Source organism: Homo sapiens, chromosome 5 (assembly GCF_000001405.40).
Source record: "Homo sapiens chromosome 5, GRCh38.p14 Primary Assembly".
Lineage (NCBI taxonomy): Eukaryota > Metazoa > Chordata > Mammalia > Primates > Hominidae > Homo > Homo sapiens.
Window position 1 is genome coordinate 76,954,917 of NC_000005.10, and position 19,676 is coordinate 76,974,592.

Here is a 19,676-nt window from a genome sequence, read left to right on the forward strand (position 1 = left end):
TCACATGCGTTAGAAATAATTTGTAGCTGGGTTGTTGGTAATTTTGCTAATGTGGACTAGATTGGACTCGTTAAACTGGAGACCTGTGGTGATTTTGAGGGTCAAGTCAATAGACTCTGACCCTTTGTTCAACTGCAAACTTTAACAAGTGAAGGAAAAATGTTCCAGGTAGCATACCAGCCATCATTGCCTGGCTGTTGAAGCAGTTCTTGACATTTTAAAGTAATATGTGATGATATTTTTAAAAAATGAGAAAAATGGGTGTATATAGTCATTAGCAGGTAAAGTTGCTGCTCCAGTTTTTTCTTTTGCTATCTATTTTCAAGATATTTTGTTCACATTTCAATGACTAGAGGAAAGAGAGAAGCTGCACGAAACCTAAATTATGCTTTTGTGGAATTCTTCTGAAGGTGAGAGGTAGAAAATATGACCAAGGTAAAAATGTACATTGTACGTTGTTTTATTTACCAAAGTGGTTGAAATGATAAAGTATAAGGAAGTTTACTTACTTTGGAAGCTTTAAGGCTTATAAAAAATTAATTAATACTATTACTTGCAAACAACCCTCACCATCCAATATATACAAATGAAAAGGCGAGCAGGCAGAGTGTGGACTGTCGATTCTCACTTATGACTGAAGGCCCATTGCTGGATGACTTTCCCCCCCTTTTCAACTCATTTCAGACTTCAGGAGTTGATGGAAATGATAGCATCTATGTCTGTATTTTTTTCAAAGGTATTTGATGGTTGGATTCTCAAGGGGGAGAAGTTCCCCAGTTCCCAGGATCATCCTCTCCCCTCAGCTGAGCGGTACATAGATTTCTGTGAGAGTGGTCTTAGCAGGAGGAGCATCAGATCTTCCCAGAATGTGGCCATGATCTTCTTCCGAGTCCATGAACCAGGAAATGGATTCACATTAACCATAAAGACAGACCCCAACCTCTTTCGTAAGTGTTCTCAGTCAAAAGGCAGAACTTCGGATATAGACCCGCTTTTTGAAAGTAGTATCATTGCACAGACTTAAAGAAATTTGAACTGAGGAATGATTTGAATGGAAATTTTTTTGTAATTAGAAATGACCTAAAGGATAGTTTCTATTCTTTATTATGAAAATCAAATCACAGTTTTTAATTTATTTCCCAGGTTAGGTAGTATACTAATTTATGAAGAGTACAATTCTATCTTTTCTCCAAAGTCTTGCTCTGAGCTTCTCAGGTTCTACAATGCATTTAGTGATAAGCTTTAATCTTCCAAGTCATTTCACTAATCCAGGATAAGCTTGAGTGATCAGATATAAAGTTGCAGTCTTAGAGATATTCAGGCACAGGCTTGAAAGTCTCCATGTCTTTCAGCCTGTGCCTGAATGTGGTAGACCGATGTCATGCCCTGACCAGAGGGTTGGATTATAGCACCTCAATGTTACCTTCTGATTCTGAGCCCACCACTCTAATTCAATTCATTTATGATGGACACACACGTAGCTTATGCTACACAACTGAACAGCCCAGGTCTAAAGCATATTATCTTACTAAAAATATTTACTCCGCGGTGGCTCACGCCTGTAATCCCAGCACTTTGGGAGGCCAAGGCAGGCGGATCACGAGGTCAGGAGATCCAGACCGTCCTGGCTAACACAGTGAAACCCCATCTCTACTAAAAATGCAAAAAATTAGCTGGGCGTGGTGGTGGGCGCCTGTAGTCCCAGCTACTTGGGAGAGAATGGCGTGAACCTGGGAGGTGGAGCTTGCAGTGAGCTGAGATCGCGCCACTGCGCTCCAGCCGGGGTGACAAAGGGAGACTCTTGTCTCAAAAAAAAAAAAAAATGAATTTACTCATCTGCTAATTGTTTTTTCCCCATTAAGAGAAAAATCTGTTTAAAAAATTAGAAAAGGAACACATATCACTCATTTTTGCATACAGTAGAATTAATGGTAACACTTCATGCGGCTGAAAGATGGGGCCTTTATCTGCCAAAGAATAATGCACTACTGATCTTTTGATTTCTAGTTCTGAAAAAACAAAAGAATTTTTGAAAAAGCCCCCCAAAAAGGCTGTTCCTGAGGACTGCAACAGAAGAATTCTAGAAGACAAAATAAAGAGTTTCCCCTATATTTTGTTTAGTTAGAAATCAGAAACCTCCTGGGCCAGGCGTGGTGGCTCATGCCTGTAATCCTAGCACTTTGGGAGGCCGAGGAGGAGGATCACTTGAGCCCAGGAGTTTAAGATCAGGCTGGCCCACAAAGTGAGACCCTGTCTGTATTAAAACTTTTAAAAAAGTTTATTAAAAAAAGAAACTTCCTAGAACCATCAAGGAATTTCAGTCCTTTTTGAAAGTAAGTATAATTAAAAATATGAAAAGGAGGCAAGAGGTGTTTCTGATCTGTTCTGATCAATGTTGATTCATCCAGTAATCAGAAAAAAAAGTACAAATTCTGATGCTTCTAGTTTCATATCTAGACTAATTAATGTATTGTAAATTTATTTATTTGAGACGGAGTGTTGCTCTGTCACCCATGCTGGAGTGCAGTGGCACGATCTTGGCTCACTGCAACCTCTGCCTCTCGGGTTCAAGCAATTCTCTGCCTCAGCCTCCCGAGTAGCTGGGATTACAGGCGCCCGTCACCATGCCTGGCTAATTTTTGTGTTTTTAGTAGAGACAGAGTTTCACCATCTTGGCCAGGTTGGTCATGAACTCCTGACCTCGTGATCCACCCGCCTCGGCCTCCCAAAGTGCTGGGATTACAGGCGTGAGCCACCACTCCCGGCCAATGTATTGTAAATTTAGATTTGAGATATAAAACAAAAAATTGTAGAAGTTCTTGGGAGTAAATTAAACATTAAAAATGCACCTTTTAGTTAACTTATCACTTAACATGCAGCAAATATTTATCAGACTTAATACTGCTGTCTTTCATTTTTTTCTCAGCCTATTTTCTCACTATTAGAAAAATACTTAAAATAGGCCTGGCATGGGGGCTCACTCCTGTAATCCTACACTTTGGGAGGCTGAGGCAGGTGAATCCCTTGAGGTCAGGAGGTCGAGACCAGCCTGGCCAACGTGGTGAAACCCTGTCTCTACTAAAAATACAAAAATTAGCCAGATGTTGTGGCACATGTCTGTAGTCCCAGCTACTCAGGAGGCTGAGGCAGGAGAATCACTTGAACCCGGGAGGCAGAGGTTGCAGTGAGCTGAGATGGTGCCACTGCATTCTAGCCAGGGTGACAGAGCAAGATTCCATCTCAGAAAAAAAAAAAGAAAAGAAAAATACTTAAAATAAGCCTGGGGCCATGGTGAAGCTGCCGAGCTGCATCCTAGGCCCCCAGTTTTAAAATAAAAATTAAGTTTTTTTAAAAAAGAAAATAAGTAAGAATGAAAAAGAAAATACTTAAAATTATTTACTTTATTATTTAAAAATAGACAGAGTTTGAGTTTTGGACTCACCATTAAGCCTCGATTTTTCCAGATTCCTAGCTTTAAGCTGGACTCTAGTTAACTCAAGTGTTCCTAGAACTACTACCAGCTAGTATTTGTTTGGGTGCTGTGTTATGTCTTGTGATTGTTATAAACAAGGTAACCCCCTAAGATTAACATTAGAAGCCCCCTCACAGCCCAGGGCCTCCTGACAATATCCACGTGTCACTGATGGTTTTTGTTCCCCAAATCCTTCCTGTCTCCAAATTGCTTTTGTGGTATATATGCTCTCTTCCTGGGCAGAAGGCCCTAGATCATGAACAGGAGCCCTAGAATAAGATACAATAAATGTCTATAAAAACCTAGCAAACCAAGTAAAGGAAACGTGAATTTCTTTTTCTTTTCTACAAAGCTTGCAATGTCATTTCTCAGACTCCAAATGGAAAGTTTACCCTGGTAGTTCCACACCAGCATCGAAACTGCAGCTTCTCCATAATTTATCCTGTGGTGATCAAAATATCTGATCTTACCCTGGGACACGTAAATGGTCTTCAGTTAAAGGTGAGTTGCTTACTTGTTTCCTAACCGTTTGATAAGGCCACAACTTTATCAGAGCAGAAGCAATCATATAGGGAAAACCTGGACACTAGCAAATTGGCGTAGTACGTTGCTCTGATGAACTCTTAAATCTCAAATGTGTTTGCCCTAGCTGCTTTGACTAACCCCCTCTTCTATTTCAGTTATGCGGCAAGTTGCATACTCAGGTGCCCCTTCTGACTACTTGAATACTTTCCCTGTGATGTAAGAAGTGTTTTCAATTGGTAAAGTTGTGGTATATAATTACAATTGAACTCTCTTGTACTTGCCTCTTTTACAAAAATTCTCTCCTAGCAGAACGTAGTGTGAGTCATCTACACAGCTGTTTTTCTGATTATTGGAATTTTCTTTTGACATGAAGGAAGTATCTCATTGACAGAACTGCGTTGTGAAGGAGTGCTAACTGTAGCATAAAATACAAAATTGGATTTTTAGATTGCAAAATACAGTAAAGCTTTGAAAAGTATTTGGCATGACATTTAACTCAATACATTTTGCCTAAAAAATATTAGCCAAGAACCCCTATCAACTTGTTTTTGAATAAACTTCTGTATGGACCTTAAAATTCATGCTGAGTTTGACCGCATTTTCTTGCACTGGTAGCATTTTCCCTCTGAGTCATCCTCATTTCCTTCTACTTTCTCACATGACTAGGTTAAGATAACTCATGTATTTGCTGCTATCAAAGGCAGTCATAATTCCTAATCAGACAGATTTTAGTGAAAACCAAATAAATAGAACTAGGACTGAGAAAAGGAGTATATCCAATTTCCTTTAAGCCCTAAATTCATGGACTAGTGCCTGCTTTTTTTAAGTTGGAACTTAGTGGAAGAATAGTCCTTTGATAAGGACATTTTTGGGTATCTTTGGTACAGTTTTACTGGCTTGATATTATTTGTATGTCATTTTTGATGTAAAATATAGAAGATGAAAGGTGTGAGCACAGACTGGGAGATCTGCACTTTAGTTATTGGGGCTATGGGGGTAATCTTGGTGTTTCCTCCCGAACAATTTAGAGCCTACAGTGTTCTAGGCATCTGTTCCTTCACAAAATATTTTTTGAATGCTTACCATGTGCAAGGCACTATTGTAGATGCTGGAAATTAGCAATAAACAAGACAGGTCCTGCTCACAGGGACCCTGCATTCAAGTGGGATGAGACAGGCAAAATTGCCATGTATTTCAGTTGGTGATAAGTGCTATACAGAAAATGCAGCAGAGTAGTGTGGTAGACAGTGACTGGGAGCATGGGGGTGGATGGAGAGGCGCGGGGCTACTTGTGATAAAGTGGTCAGGAAAGAAACCTTTTGAGAAGTGAGACCTGGGTGATAGATCAGAAGGAACCAGCAGCTGTGAGAACAGGGAGCAGAGGGAACAGTGCAGGGGCTCAGAGGCAGGAATGGGCTTGCTGGATTCCAGACATGGAAAGAAGAGGAGGATTGGCATAAAACAGCTTCAGGGAGATGGGCAGGGCCAGAGTGTGGTGAGCCCTGCAGGCCACATTAGGGAGTTTAAGTGCAGTGGTAAACCACTGAAAGAGTTCAGGGAGGAAAGCAACATGATCTGATGTATGCTGTCTAAAACGTCACTGTGGCTTCCATGCAATGAATGGGCTGTAGGGCCATGCCACCCTTTTTATGGCTCTGGTGAGATGTTTCTTTAGTTATTATTAACATATCTATCAAGATTATTTTCTTAAACCTCCCAGATTTCTATGTATTGGAAGATGAGTTCCACCAAAATAAAACCAAAACCAAAAAACCTTCAATTTTGCACATTGAGTTGGTGTGAGGATCTTACATTTGGTACAAGGAATGTAAGTACTTTTTATTGTTTTTTGTTTTTTGTTTTTTTTTTGAGATGGAGTCTCGCTCTGTCGCCCAGGCTGGAGTGCAGACATGCAGTCTCGGCTCACTGCAACCTCTGCCTCCGAGGTTCAAGCAATTCTCCTGCCTCAGTCTCCTGAGTAGCTGGGATTACAAGCATGAGCCACCACACCTGGCTAATTTTTTTTTGTATTTTTAGTAGAGACAGGGTTTCACCATATTGGCCAGGCTGGTCTCAAACTCCTGACCTTGTGATCTGCCCGCCTCGGCCTCCCAAAGTGCTGGGATTACAAACATGAGCCACTGCTCCTGGCCAAGTACTTTTTTGGTACATTATTGTGGGCTAGGCAAAAGATAGTAGTGGCTTAGAACCTGAACAAAGAAATTTAGGGAATCCCTGTTGAGAAACTGAACTTGAGAGGTCCCTGCATAACTCAGTTTCTGCCATTGTAAGAAAAGCTGAGAGGTTTGCAAAGAAGGGAGAAAAATCATTGAACAGCAAGGAATAAGTGCACTTAACTTTCTTGTTTCTTTGTTTTGTTCCCCTCACTTTAGTTTCTATTTCTTCCTAGCTTCTTTATTTCCTACTTCTCTCTCCTGAGTCTGCCTTTTTGCCTGCAACAGCACCTGCTGAATTTTGGAACCTATAAAACTAAGTGGAAAATTTAGTTGTAAGAGATGTTCCTCCTGGACATCCTCTACTCAAGGGAAAGGCAATTAAAGTTTTTTTCCTTTACTGCTAAATTGCTTATTCCACTCTCAATACAAGAACATGAAGCCCTGTATACAGTGGGGCTAATTAAACCTCTTTCATCATTTGATGCAATTATGTATAAAGCCTCTAAGCATCAAACCCAGTACATAGTAGGTAGGCCCTTTAAAAATATGTATCCCCACCTGCCCCTGCTCATTAGTGAAGCAGTTGCCATTATGTTATTTTCCAATTTGCTGTTTAGTTCCAGTTGTATTCCAATGCTCTTCTGTGTTTTTTTGTTTGTTTTGTTTTGTTTTGTTTTTTCGGAGACAGAGTCTCACTCTGTCGCCCAGGCTGGAGTGCAGTGACGTGATCTTGGCTCACTGCAACCTCTGCCTCCCAGGTTCAAGTGATTCTCCCACCTCAGCTTCCCGAGTAGCTGGGACTACAGGTGTGTGCCACCGCGCTTGGCTAATTTTTGTATTTTTAGTGGAGACGGGGTTTCACCGTGTTGGCCAGGCTGGTCTCGAACTCCTGACCTCAAATGATCCACCTGCCTTGGCCTCCCAAAGTGCTGGAATTACAGGCGTGAGCCACCATGCTGGTCAGTGCCCTTCTAAATGCCTGAATGTGTGTGCTTATGTGTGTGTGTGGGTGTGTGTGTGTATTAAGTTCTCTATTTTAGATTTTGGTTCCTATGTGTTAAGGTCTATCTAGTGAAGTACTGAGCACCTTGTCACATTCTACTAGATCTCTTAATGAGCACACTTCAATGAAAAAGAGGATCACAGGCAAAATTGTGGGGACCAGTACAAATGAAAATGTGGGAGCCCTTATTACAATTTTATGAAAATGCAGCAGAACATTAAACCAAGCATAGAGCCCTTCTAGGCACTGGCTTTTTGTGGCTGCACAGGTGGCATACTTGTGAGACTGCCCTGGGGAGATGGGGGCTCAGAGTACTTTTGGGACTAAGAGTGGTTGCTTTGTTTGTGTTGGAAAGTGAGGCACGGGGATTGCTATGGACAAGACAGTGTGGAAAAAATGAAAAGGCTGGGTGAGGTGGCTCACACCTGTAATCCCAGCATTTTGGGAGTCCGAGGCAGGAGGATCCCTTGAGGTTAGGAGTTCAAGACCGGCCTGGGCAACATATCAAGGACCCATCTCTACAAAATTGAAAAAAAAAAAAAAGGGGGAAGCAGGAAAAGGTGATCATGGTGGACCACACAAAGCTTTAGAATGAATTCTTTTGAGTAGCTTGAAATAAATTTGTTTTAGTTGAAAGGAGAAAGATCATGGTAACTGTAGCTAACTTGGGCCCCAAATCAGGGTTTTATTATTTCTTTAACATACTCATAATTAATCAAAATTCTTATTGTTAGAAATGAGGTGTTCCAATAGCACACAAATTTCCTTTACAAAGAAGAAGAAAAGAGATGAGGTGAAGGAAAAACGGATGTGAAAGCCCTATTTATAAAATGTAGGTATTTGACTTCGCTTAGCTGTGACTGCATGCATTAAGAAATTGGAGTGATTCAGTATGTATGTCCAAATGATTTGAAAAGTAAAGCATTTTTTGGTTGAATTTCCACACATCTTATATGGAGTTTACAGATTTCCATTTTATCATTCCAGTCCTTGAGCTTAAAAAAAATGAAAAAAACATGTACACACATTTCTAAAAAAAATGATTACTCAACTGATTTAGAAAAGCAATTTTTATGATTTTTTCTCTTTTAAATGTCTTTTAATTTCCAGAGTCCCAGATGTTAAATTAAATGGTATTGCCAGGATGTTGAGGGCTGATTGAGTGAATTCATGGACCCGCTGTTGGTCAAATGGTTTGACTTCTGTAATTGGTTTAAATGTGTCTTTCTCTGCTGCTTTATTCCCTTAGAAATCCTCAGCAGGTTGCGAGGGAATAGGAGACTTTGTGGAGCTGCTGGGAGGAACTGGATTGGACCCTTCCAAGATGACGCCTTTAGCTGATCTCTGCTACCCCTTTCATGGCCCGGGTGAGGTATTTCTTTGATTGTTATGTATGTGCCTATCAAGATTAAAAAAAAATAAGCACTCCCCTAATATTTTCTACATTGGAAGGTGAGTTTCGCCAAAAAAGCCTTCAATTTTTCACACTGAGCCAGTATGAGGATTTGAGGCTATATATAACATCAGTATCTTTACCAAAATATCCGACACTGGGAGAGAAACCTTTGAAGCAATAAAGGTTGGCCTTAAGTAAAACTATGAAAAAGACAAAGCTTTTAAAATCTGCATTCTTTCCATTTTCTTGGGGGTCTCTGCTTTCATTTTCTAGAGACTAAAGAGTTTACTAACTGAAACACTTATGGTTCAAATAGTAGATGTATCATCAATTAGTAATAGGATAATAATGAAATAACTGTTTTTTATGTATGTGTATGTATGTGTGTGTGTTACTCATAGTAAATAAACAACAAAGTGATAAGCTTTATTAGAAATTCTTAGAACTGCTAAGTCTATAACTTCTTATGGCTAAACTAGCCTCTCAAAGGCCAGTGTAACACAGAGGTAAATTCTGAAATCTAAAAGCGGTCACCAGTAATAGAAGACTGGTTTATTTGGCACAGCATATGCCAAATAGAACCAGATCTATGTCAGAGACAAGTGAGTATTTTCACTTTTTTATGCTCATGTCAGGTGAGGATGGATGGGACTTCATGACCTCATGACCAGATAACTCAATGAAGTCTCGGGGAGGTGGGGGAGAGGAGTCATAAAACATTCCTGTAAAGGTCACTCCCATAGCTTTACTTCAGACACAGGAGTCCTAGATTAACATTAACGAGACAAAACAGAAGAAGAACAGCAGTCTCTAATCTCAGTTAATTCTTACTGTAGCCTCCTTCCTCTCCTGTCACTGCAGATCATTAACCAGCTAGGCAATGAAGCTGCAAAGCAGACAGTCCTCTTGATCAGCTGTTACCTGTAATAATTAAAACCAGGCCAGACCACCAGTATTTTCTGACTCTGAGTTGATGATGGACAAAACATCTCCAAAATAGAATTAACATACAGTCAGCCCTTCTTAACTGTGGGTTCCCCATACACAGATTCAACCAATTGTAATAGAAAATATTCAGCGTAGGCTAGGCGCGGTGTCTCACGCCTGTAATCACAGCACTTTGGGAGGCCGAAGCGGGCAGATTACTGAGGTCAGGAGTTCGAGACCAGCGTGGCCAATATGGTGAAACCCCCGTCTCTACTAAAAATATAAAAAAATTAGCCAGGCATCGTGGTGCACACCTGTAGTCCCAGGTACTTAGGAGGCTGAAGCAGGAGAATTGCTTGAACCCGGGCAGTGGTGGTTACAGTGAGCTGAGATTGTGCCACTGCACTCCAGCCTGGATGACAGAGCGAGACTAGACAGAGTGAGATTCTGTCTCAAAAAATATATATATATTCAGTGTAATTCCTGAACTTTGGGAGGCTGACGCAGGAGGATCGCTTGAGCCCAGCAGTTTGAGACCAGCCTGGGCAACATGGCAAGACCACACCCCATAAAATAAAAAAAAAGAAAAGAATCAGGTAAAAAAAAAACACACAAAAAAATACAGTATAACAACTATTTACATAGCTTTTACATTGTATTAGGTACTATAGGTAATCTACAGATGATTTAAAGTATATGGGAGGATGTGTGTAGTTTACATGGAAATAGGTAAAGGTAAAAGGTAGCCATTTACATAAGGGACTTGAACATCTGTGGATTTTGGTATCCGTGGGATGGGGAGCATCTTGGAACCAATCTCCTGAGGATACCAAAGGATGAATTATACAAAAGTCAGCACTAAAGCCTGATATGCACTCCACCCTCCCCCAGATACACCTATATTCTAAAAGTTTCAGATGAGATTTAAGGTAGGAGTGGGCTCAAAGCAAGCTTTCTAATCAAGGTAAAGGCAAAAGATTTCCAAAATCCCACTTTGCGGAAAACTAGAGGATTCTCTAATGCTAATTGACACTTGAGCCATGGTTTAAACTGTCAGTGCATGCGGCTTCTTTAGCCTTTTGGGTGCATGATCTGAGGCACTAAAGTACTTCCATGCTCATGATTGGAGAGCACCTTTGAGGAGATATACCTCAGCTGGGTTAAAAAGTAAGACAAGGATTAAAGAACAATCAGGCCTTACAATTTAGATAATTGAAGCCAAAGTCATTTTTCCGCTTGAGTGATATAACTTGAATTAGAAAAAAAGGTGATTCTAAAGCCAGAAAACCACTTTTGCCTACATTACCTAGGTAACTGAAACCACTTTTAAGACAATTTTAAGGCTTGAATTATATCACTCTTTGGTTCATTTTAGACTTTATTCCGTTACTGGAAGGAGGGCCTTGAGTGTAAGTTGTCCAGGTTCTTGGCGTTTTGAACAAAGAATTGGACAAAACGCACAAAGTAACAAAGGAATGAAACACAGGAACAAAGTAGCCGAAGCAGGGATGTATTAAAGGGAGAAAGCACTCCGCAGGGTGGGAGTGGACCCTAGCGAGCGGCTCAAGGGCCCGGTTACAAAAGTTTTCTGGGTTTCAAGTACTCCTTTCTTTTGTTTTGAGATGGAGTTTCACTCTTGTTGCCCAGGCTGGAGTGCAATGGTGCGATCTCGGCTCACCGCAACCTCCACCTATTGGGTTCAAGTGATTCTCCTGCCTCTGCCTCCCGAGTAGCTGGGATTACAGGCATGTGCCACCACGCCTGGCTAATTTTGTATTTTTAGTAGAGATGGGGTTTCTCCATGTTGGTCAGGCTGGTCTCGAACTCCTGACCTCAGGTGATCTGCCCACCTCGGCCTCCCAAAGTGCTGGGATTACAGGTGTGAGCCACTGCTCCTTTTGAGGTTCCTATCAATTACCCTTTATCTGGATGAAGGATTTGGTTTGTGGGTAAAGGCTGAGGTGAATTGGCACCCTATGCAGATGAAGAGATAGCCCATGCTTGTTCCACGGCCAGTACAAGGCACTCTCCCTTTCCTTGTGAGATGTGGTGGAAGGGGAGGGTTGTAGGGAGACTAGCCTTTGATCCGTCGCTACTTGGGCTTGGGGGAGATGCGGTTTTTCCTTTTGGTTCAGCTTTAGGAAGTTTGCATTAATTGGGCTTAGGTTCCCTGCCCCCAGACCCAGGTGTTTTCCTTTTGATCCAGCTTTGGGAAGTCAGCACAAATTGGCCTCAGTTTCCCTGCCACCAGGCCTTGGTGTTTTTCCTTGATTCAGCATGAATTGACCTTAAGTTCCCTGCCTCCAGACCCTATTCTCCTGCCTTAATTCTTTTCTTTCTTTATCATATTTCCATGAGCCCCTCCTGAGTTGTTCAGTGTTGAACTATTAAGGACCCTGCCCTTTACATTGGATTTTGTTAGGAATTAGTTCAAAATAATAAATAAATAATAAGTAAAGAAAATAGGACATGTTATAAAGATTAAAGTCCAGAGTAAGATCAGAAAAAGAATGACCTCCAAACTGTTTAATGAAAAATAAATTTGGCTGGGTGTGGTGGTTCATGCCTGTAATCCCAACACTTTGGGAGTCTGAAGCGGGCACATCACTTGAGGTCAGGAGTTTGAGACGAGCCTGGCTAACATGGTGAAACCCCATCTCTATTCAAATTCAAAAATTAGCCAGGTGTGGTGGCACACAACTGTAATCCCAGCTACTGGAGAGGCTGAGTTAGGAGAATTACTTGAACCTGGGAGGCAGAGGTTGCAGCGAGCCAAGATGGCACCACTGCACTCCAGCCTGGATGACAGAGCAAGATCCTGCCACAAAAAAAAGAAAGGAAAGGAAAAGAAAAAGAAATTTGGACCTCCTGGTAGAAGCTTAACTAGACTACCTGGTACTTATATTAAAATAATTATAGGGCTTTTATTTATTATGTCATCCATTTGACTTTTATCTCAATAACTCTATTGAACTGTTTACTTCATTTAAACCCAGGTATGTGTTTGAGTGGTACCCATTACACGAGGACAATGATAGCATTTCTTAAAATTTAAAAACACCTTATAGAGACAAAGTGAGGAAAAGAAAGATTGAGAAAACTAAAACAGCAGAAATGATTATTGTAGAGCAGATAAATCTTGCCTCAGGAATCAGCTTGGATAAACAAATAGAATAAATAAAAGGAAAGTAATTCTTAATAAAAGTAATATGAGTTTCAATATATAACCCATACAGAGGAGATATAAAAGTTGTCAGATCTTATATAAATAATGAATAAGATTGGATTTTTTTTTTTTTTGAGATGGAGTCTCACTTTGTTGCCCAGGCTGGGGTGCAGTGGTGTGATCTCGACCCACCACAACCACTGCCTCCCAGGTTCAAGCAATTCTTCTGCCTCAGCCTCCCGAGTAGCTGGGACTACAGGTGCGCACCACCATGCCTGGCTAATTTTTGTATTTTTAGTAGAGACGGGGTTTCACTATGTTGGCCAGGCTGGTCTCAAACTCCTGACCTCGTGATCCACCCACGTCGGCCTCCCAAAGTGCTGGGATTACAGGCATGAGCCACCGTGCCCAGCTGAATAAGATTGGATTTAAGAGAAGCAAGGATATCAGAAGCCATTTCATATAAATAGTACAGAAAAAATCAGAGAAAAGTTGTAAGTGGATAATAAAACAAAAACTAGTATGTTCAGTGTATGTCTATACGATGCAAATGATCTTTTTGTTTATGTATAAAACAGTTTTTGTATAAATTCAGAAAATGATAAACAGGTGTTTTTTTTTGTTTTTTTTTTTTTTGGTCTACATAAATGTCCCGCAGTACATTCCATCCTCTAGCCCCCACTAAATGCCCCTTGCAACCCTAGATCGGTGACAACCAAAAACTGCCACTGCAAATTTCCGACCTGTCCTTAGAGGGCCGTACTGTTTCCACTGCAATCCCTGAACCCGAGCAACTGTGCACACTCCAGACTGATTGCCTTTGCCTGCCTTTACTACTTAGGCTTTGCAGGCAAAAAAGGCCGAGGAGACATCTTCTTGCCTCTTTCCAGCTAGTTTTATTTTTTAATAGTGTTCTTGCACATGAGGAGAAAGACTGAATTCAATTGCACTATTCTATAACTAATTATAAGTTATAATAAAAATGAAACAAAAACATTTCAACTGATAGTAGATGCATGGTTTGGGTACATGAGAGGAAGATAGGTCTCCTTGCTTTCATTATGTTTAAGTGATCCCGTCATTTAAATGATGACTGTGTGGTTTCTAACCTGCTGGGAAACTTTTATCTTTTCCATCCATTATAGCCCAGATGAAAGTTGGCTGTGACAACACTGTGGTGCGCATGGTCTCCAGTGGAAAACACGTAAATCGTGTGACTTTTGAGTATCGTCAGCTGGAGCCGTACGAGCTGGAAAACCCAAATGGAAACAGTATCGGGGAATTCTGTTTGTCTGGTCTTTGAATAACCAACCCAGTGATTTACATGCTGATAGCTAAGTGAGTTTTTAATGGCCATTGTGTATGATTTTGATGCACAACTAGTTAAAAGCCTTTCATACCAGTCAGTATTCCCAGCCTTGAGCGCACGCGCGCACACACACACACACATACACACACGCATTAATTTTTGTACTTTGCTTCTTTTATGTTTGTAATCTGTAAATGAACACATGGCAGAAAATAACCCCTGATTGGTAGGATCATAGTTCTAAATGGAAATGTTTGTAATTCTTTGATGTGCTACAAACCTGAAACTGGTAAGACAAGCACAAAGCAACGTGCAATACAAAAATCGTATCTCAAGGGAAAATACTCAAAGAAAGAAAAGTGGCAGCACTTATATTAGTTTTATAACAGGATAAAGTCTTGTGTATAGCAAAGTAGTTGCATCTGTTTATTTTCTATTTATTATTGTTACAATAGGTAATAGTTATAGCAATTATTTATTGATTTGTAACAACTTGTTTTTAACCAAACTTTGTAGCATGGAAAAAATTTTCCATCCACAAATACAAACATGAATAAATACATTCAGAATGTTGGCACCATGATGTTGGGCTTTATTTGCTTTCCTGAGTAGTCCTCTTTCTTGTTACCATCAGAAAATAATGTTATCATGTGGTGCAGAGCCAAATGCTGAACTAAATCATTTTGGACTTCTCAGAGCTAGAACTCTGGGCCATTGAAGTAGAATTATTTAGAGGAGAGGTAGAATTGCAGTGTTTGCACAGGCAACACTAGCTGGTCCTGGCAGGGAAGCGGGTGCAGAGATTCATTTTCCGCTATCCTCAGAATACGTGTTTTTGTCACGATATACATTTCTACAAAGACAGCAAGGACCTTACAACAACTCTCATAGACACAATTTGCAGAAATCTGAATACTTCTTTGATACTGAAGGCAGTTTACTGTTGACTGAGCTTTGTTCCGTGTTTGGCTTAAAACTGAGTGTGTAGTATGTAAAAGACATCTTGGAGCAAAAAGGAAGGTTCTAAGCTACAAAGAAAATTCTTTTTTTTTTTTTTTTTTTTTTTTTTTTTTTTGAGACAGTCTTGGCTCTGTCACCTAGGCTGGAGTACAGTAATGTAATCTCACCTCACTGCAGCCTGCACCTCCTGGGTTCAAGCGATTCTCCTGCCTCAGCCTCCCAAGTAGCTGTGGTTACATGTGCGCCACCATGCCTGGCTAATTTTTGTATTTTTGGTAGAGGCAGGGTTTCACCATGTTGGCCAAGCTGGTCTCAAACTCCTGACCTCAAGTGATCTACCAGCCTTGGCCTCCCAAAGTGCTGGGATTACAGGCATGAGCCACTGTGCCCGGCTAGAAAATTCTTTTAAGGGAACTCTTTACTTTGGATTAGTAGATGAAAGCTTCAAACTATGCCATAATTAATGGCCTTATTATGGTTCCTGAAACATATTTAATATGATTGGCATATACTGGGATCCTATACACTGGGCTTGTTCACAAAATCTGAAAACCAGGCAGAAAAAAAAAACCCAACTAATTGGAAGTGTTTCAAATACCTAGGATTTGGCACAAGTTTTGGCTCAGTAGGTATTTTGGAATGAGTGACTACTTTAGCAAATGATGAATAAATGCTTGAATGGATGGATGGATGGATGGATGACGGATGACTATAATTCTTGATTAGTTATATAAAATATTGGATTCTTCATTTCATAGAAACTAAATTCTATGAAGCAGGAGGTTGAACCCTTTTCTTAAAAAAGATAGTCACTCTAGCAACCCAAGAATTAAGGAAGTTACTTTTATCACCATCAGAAGTTTCTGGCTCTTAACCTTCATGATTCCCTCATGCTGAGTAAAATACACTTTTCTATTACATCTCACCATCAAAGTTAGGAAACTTCTTTTATTCCTAAGGGATTTTGCAAGCTGATTAGCCTCTCTGCAGTAAGACAGGTGCTCCTGTGGTCCTTAAGCCCTGACATTCTGTGGTCATTTGTGACATGCTTTACTTCAAAGCTTGTTAGTGAACAACAGGTTACATTCTTTGAGAGGATGTCCACCCTGGTGAACTGTCCATGTCTTTTTCTTGGACTGTCTACTACTTAGCCTATGTTCCAAAAGGATGGGGCAGCTTTCTGGAAACAAAATGGTAAATGAAATCTCCGGGGGAGATTTATAGGTTGTGTCTTCATTGGTATATCCATCAAGCGAGTAAAAGTTTATATGAAACAATATGACTTTCTAAGAAAGGAAGTATAGCGTAGTGGTTAAGGTCATTGACTCTGCAGCCAACCCTCTTGGAATCCCAGCTCTACCACTGACTTGAGCAAGTCACTTATAAGTCTCCATTCCTTAGTTTTTAATCTGTAAAATTTGGGTAATTTACAGTACCTTTACAGAAGGAGAAAGGTGCCTTCTTCAAAAGGTTTTTGGCCACATTAAATGGTTAGATATATTTAAAGCTCAAGACCTGTGTCTCACATGTGTTGGCTGTTATTTTTATTTTTCTCTCTTCTAAGCAAATATGCCATTCTGGGTCCTCCGTACTCTTATTGGGACATTTGCTTTGTACGCTGAAGGATTTGCACTAATTCAATTATACTGTTTCATCCCAGGACATTTGTGAGGAAGCTAGGGTTAGTTAAGGTTGTTGCCTGTCACTGAGAAGCATAGTAACCCCAGCCCTAATCCTCACCCTAATCCTAACGTTTGAGGGTAGATCATGTCAGGATTTATCTAATTCACACACATCTCTTCTCACAGCTCACCCCTGTCTGCAGGCACTGCACTGCTCCAGGACCAATCCTGACCTTGGGCAAGAGGAATTTGAATAGCTCTTGTCTGACGTTCTGGTCATGAGCAAATTGTCTCATAAATTGTCTGGACTATCTGCCCTTCTGCCCCATTCTCCATCTCTGTAATCTTTCAGATCTTGGTTATTTCATTGTAGTAGTTCTTGTCTGGCCCTGTTTTTATCTCTCACTCCTACCTATAGGTCTTTCTGAATACCAATTAGGGGACTAGGGATCTGCTTTCTACAACCAATAACTGATTTCTCAAATTCTTCCTGCCTACATGTCTAAAATTCTGAGCATTTTTGCTCATAGGTTTTATGTCACTGTCACCATCTAATTTTCTAGATGCTTCTCTTTTTTCTTCTTTTGAGACAGGGTCTTGCTCTATTATGCAGGCTGGAGTGCAGTGACAGCTAACTGCAGCCTCAACTTCCTGGGGTCAAGTGATCTCTCACCTCAGCCTCCCAAGTATCTGGGGGTCACGGGTGCATGCTACCTGTGGCTAATTAAAAAAAAAAAAATTATAGGCTGGGCGCAGTGGCTCACACCTGTAATCCCAGCACTTTGGGAGGCCGAGGCAGGCTGATTGCCTGAGGTTGGGAGTTCGAGATCAGCCTGATCAGCATGATGAAACCCTGTCTCTACTAAAAACACAAAAATTAGCCGGGCATGGAGGCAGGCGCCTGTAATCCCAGCTACTTGGGAAGCTGAGACAGGAGAATCGCCTGAACCCGGGAGGCGGAGATTGCAGTGAGCCGAGATCATGCCATTGCACTCCAGCCTGGGCAACAGAGGGACTCCGTCTCAAAAAAAAAAAATTTATAGAGACAGGGTCTCACTATGTTGCCCAAGCTGGTCTCAAATTTCTGGGCTCAAGCGATCCACCCACCTCAGCTTCCCAAAATGTTAGGATTATAGGCATGAGCCACTGCACCCAGCCTTGTGGATCCTTTTCTACCTCCTCTAATCCTGCCTCTTCTGCCACTGTCTTCGAGCCTGCCATCTATGGAATATCTTGATCTGCCTATGATACTGGACTTTCTCCTAGTATATAAAGCAGCATGTCTTCTTTACCTCCAACTACTCCCTGGTACTGTTGCTTCATTTAAGTGGGTAGGGCAGAAATGCTATATGTTCATCAGAACTCACTTTACAACCTCTCTTACAGTTAGGCTTGGTCACGTGACTGAATTATCACAGAAAGAATGTGGGTGGATATGATGTCCACCCCTTGATATGATCCTCCACACCTTCTCTCTCTTCCCATACCTACTATCTGTTAGACACAGAGGCTTGAACAGAGGACTCCAAGGCCATACAGGAAAACAGAGCCATAGGATGCAAGAAGCCTGCATCTCTGAATGACCACATAGACGGCTGCCTATTGACTATGCATATCCACATTGGACTTTGTATGAATGAGAAATAAATTTTTATTTTGTTAAGCCACTGAGATAAATATATATAGCACTATTATCATACTTCATACAATGGGCCTGTCTAAATCCAATTCTTAGCTATTCTGTCTGTTTTCGTTGCAACTATCCAGACAGGCCTGACTTGACTCTTCCAAAGAAAAATACCTCAAATGCACATCTTTGATCTTATGAAAACTAAGCTTTAACTGGTATAACCATATGCAACCTTTCCACATTCTTTAAATAGTCTTAGAACAGTGATCCTTAGACCTCTTTGAAAATCTGACAGGAGCTAGAAATTGTTTTCCAGTAAAATATCTCTATACATACAAAAATACCATGCAAATACCTGAGAGTTCACAAACCCCTGAAGAGCATCTAAGGATTTCAGGATAACTCCTGCTATTGGATTCAGCAATGGATGAAAGTCAGTTTTATATCAGTCTTCTCACACTGAATTGCCCTCTCTTCAATATTAGTTTAAAACATTCATTAGTGAATCTGGCTGCAAAATAAGTCCATAATAACAACTTAGTCTTTCTGCTTCTATATTTATTTAATTTTGCCTTTTACCAGATGAGTTTTTCTTCATCTGCTATGTAGTTTTTCATTAGAGAGAAAACATGTTTGACTCAGGACAAATTTTTGTGACACAGATTTTTCCAGATTTCTCCTAATTTCAAACTTCTCTTGCTTGCTATTTTATTTTATTTAAGACAGAGTCTTGCTCTGTCACTCAGCCTGGAGTGTAGGGCGCGATCTCAGCTCACTGCAATCTCTGCCTCCAGGGTTCAAGCGATTCTCCCGCCTCAGCCTCCCGAGAAGCTGGGATTACAGGCACGTGCCACCACACCTGGCTAATTTTCTAAATCGTTATTATTATTATTATTATTATTATTTTTAGACAGGGTCTCACTCTGTCACCCAGACTGGAGTTCAGTGGCATGATCTTGGCTCACTGCAACCTCTGCCTCCCAGGCTGAAGTGATTCTATTGCCTCAGCCTCCCAAGTAGCTGGAATTACAGCCTCCCAAGTAGCTGGGATTACAGGCATGTGTCACCATGCCTGGCTAATTTTTGTATTTTTAGTAGAGACGGGGTTTCACCAGGTTGGTCAGGCTGGTCTTGAACTCCTGATCTCAAATGATCCACCCGCCTCAGCCTCCCAAAGTGCTGGGATTACAGGCGTGAGCCACGGTGCCCGGCCAAATTTTGTATTTTTAGTAGAGAGGGGGTTTCACCCTATTGGCCAGGCTGGTCTCAAACTCCTGATCTTAGGTGATCCGCTGGCCTCAGCCTCCCAAAGTGCTGGGATTACAGGCATGGGCCACCATGCCAGGCTGCTTGCTATTTTAATTGGGAGGCAACATTGCCAGTTTGTCTGCAAAGTAGAATCTTCATGAAAGGAAAACAAAGGTTTGATGGACAGGATTTACTTGTAGGCAGTTTGTTTATGTGCTCAAAAGCACCCAAAAGAGAGTTG

The 19,676-nt window shown here is 41.0% G+C and overlaps 1 protein-coding gene across 3 annotated transcripts in view; it reads left to right on the forward strand.

Moving 5' to 3' along the window:
* Nucleotides 1-19,676, forward strand: part of CRHBP (corticotropin releasing hormone binding protein) — a 28,115-nt gene that overhangs the window by 1,872 nt on the left and 6,567 nt on the right. For 2 of the 3 annotated variants that reach the window (NM_001882.4, XM_047416736.1), the window contains 4 exons: nt 737-947; nt 3,825-3,973; nt 8,427-8,544; nt 13,812-14,555. In NM_001882.4, coding sequence (NP_001873.2) covers nt 737-947; nt 3,825-3,973; nt 8,427-8,544; nt 13,812-13,969 — 636 coding nt within the window. In that variant the 3' untranslated portion in view covers nt 13,970-14,555. Of the gene's footprint in view, nt 1-736; nt 948-3,824; nt 3,974-8,426; nt 8,545-13,811; nt 14,556-19,676 lie in introns of those variants that run through there. The other variant, XR_948235.4, reaches the window with a different exon arrangement.